The sequence below is a fragment of the Homo sapiens genome, chromosome 11 (assembly GCF_000001405.40).
Source record: "Homo sapiens chromosome 11, GRCh38.p14 Primary Assembly".
Classification (NCBI taxonomy): domain Eukaryota; kingdom Metazoa; phylum Chordata; class Mammalia; order Primates; family Hominidae; genus Homo; species Homo sapiens.
The window spans coordinates 19,077,793-19,078,607 of NC_000011.10; the positions used below are offsets into that span (position 1 = coordinate 19,077,793).

The 815-nt window shown below is 40.4% G+C and overlaps 1 annotated feature.

Moving 5' to 3' along the window:
• Positions 250-544: a silencer, noted in NCBI's record as "tiled region #14303; HepG2 Repressive non-DNase unmatched - State 22:ReprW". NCBI's record gives its function as "represses a minimal TATA promoter and a strong SV40 promoter by Sharpr-MPRA in HepG2 cells {active_cell/tissue: HepG2}" and the evidence as "EXISTENCE:reporter gene assay evidence [ECO:0000049][PMID:27701403]".

Genomic DNA, 815 nt, shown 5'->3' on the forward strand with positions numbered 1-815 from the left:
TGACTATAACTCTGTGAACCTGTCTCCTTCATTTGTGAGGATGACCAAGCTTTCATAGACATAAAAGGTATTTTGTAAAGAAGCATGCAGATGGTGGTGGTAGCACGTAGCGTGTTTATAATAATTGCTGCTAGCACAGTCATATTTGAGACCCCCTCACACTTGGACTGAAGGTGCCCCATGAAATGTGGAGCTGAGAGGGGAGCTGAGGAGTGTCTGAATGTGTCACCTAGATAAGGAAGAGGGCCAGAAGTTGGTGCCTGGAACTGGGAAAGGAATCCAGGGAATCCCAGAGCTAGGAAAAGCAGCACAAGAGGAATGGGTCAGGCAAAAGGATGATTCTGGAAGAATATTTATGACTGTTTCCTGCTGCTGGCACAGGATGCATTTAATAGCTGGGGGTGGACTGGACATTTTCTAAATTTTTGTCTAATAGGAAGTGTGTTGGCTTTCATAGAGGAAGCTTGAGATACTTCATCATTAGTAGGTACTTGGATTATTTTTCAAATCTGCCTGGTCATTTTTATATTCTTTTGTTCTTGACTCATTTTTTATTCTTTCTTTCTTGAATTAGTGGAAAGAGCACTGGACCATGCCAGAAGATGTGGGTGTGAGTCTTCTTTTGAGTCTTTCTTTAATATGTTTATTTAAACATATTAAACATAATTTTTCTATAGTCTATATGTATCCCAATATCTGAAGTCTTTGTGGGCCTGGTTCTATAATTTGCTGTTTCTGCTGCCACTGATTCATGGTGGTCTGTTTCCTTGCACACATCATTTTGATTGTGAGCCCCTAGTTTTTGGAATCTTATG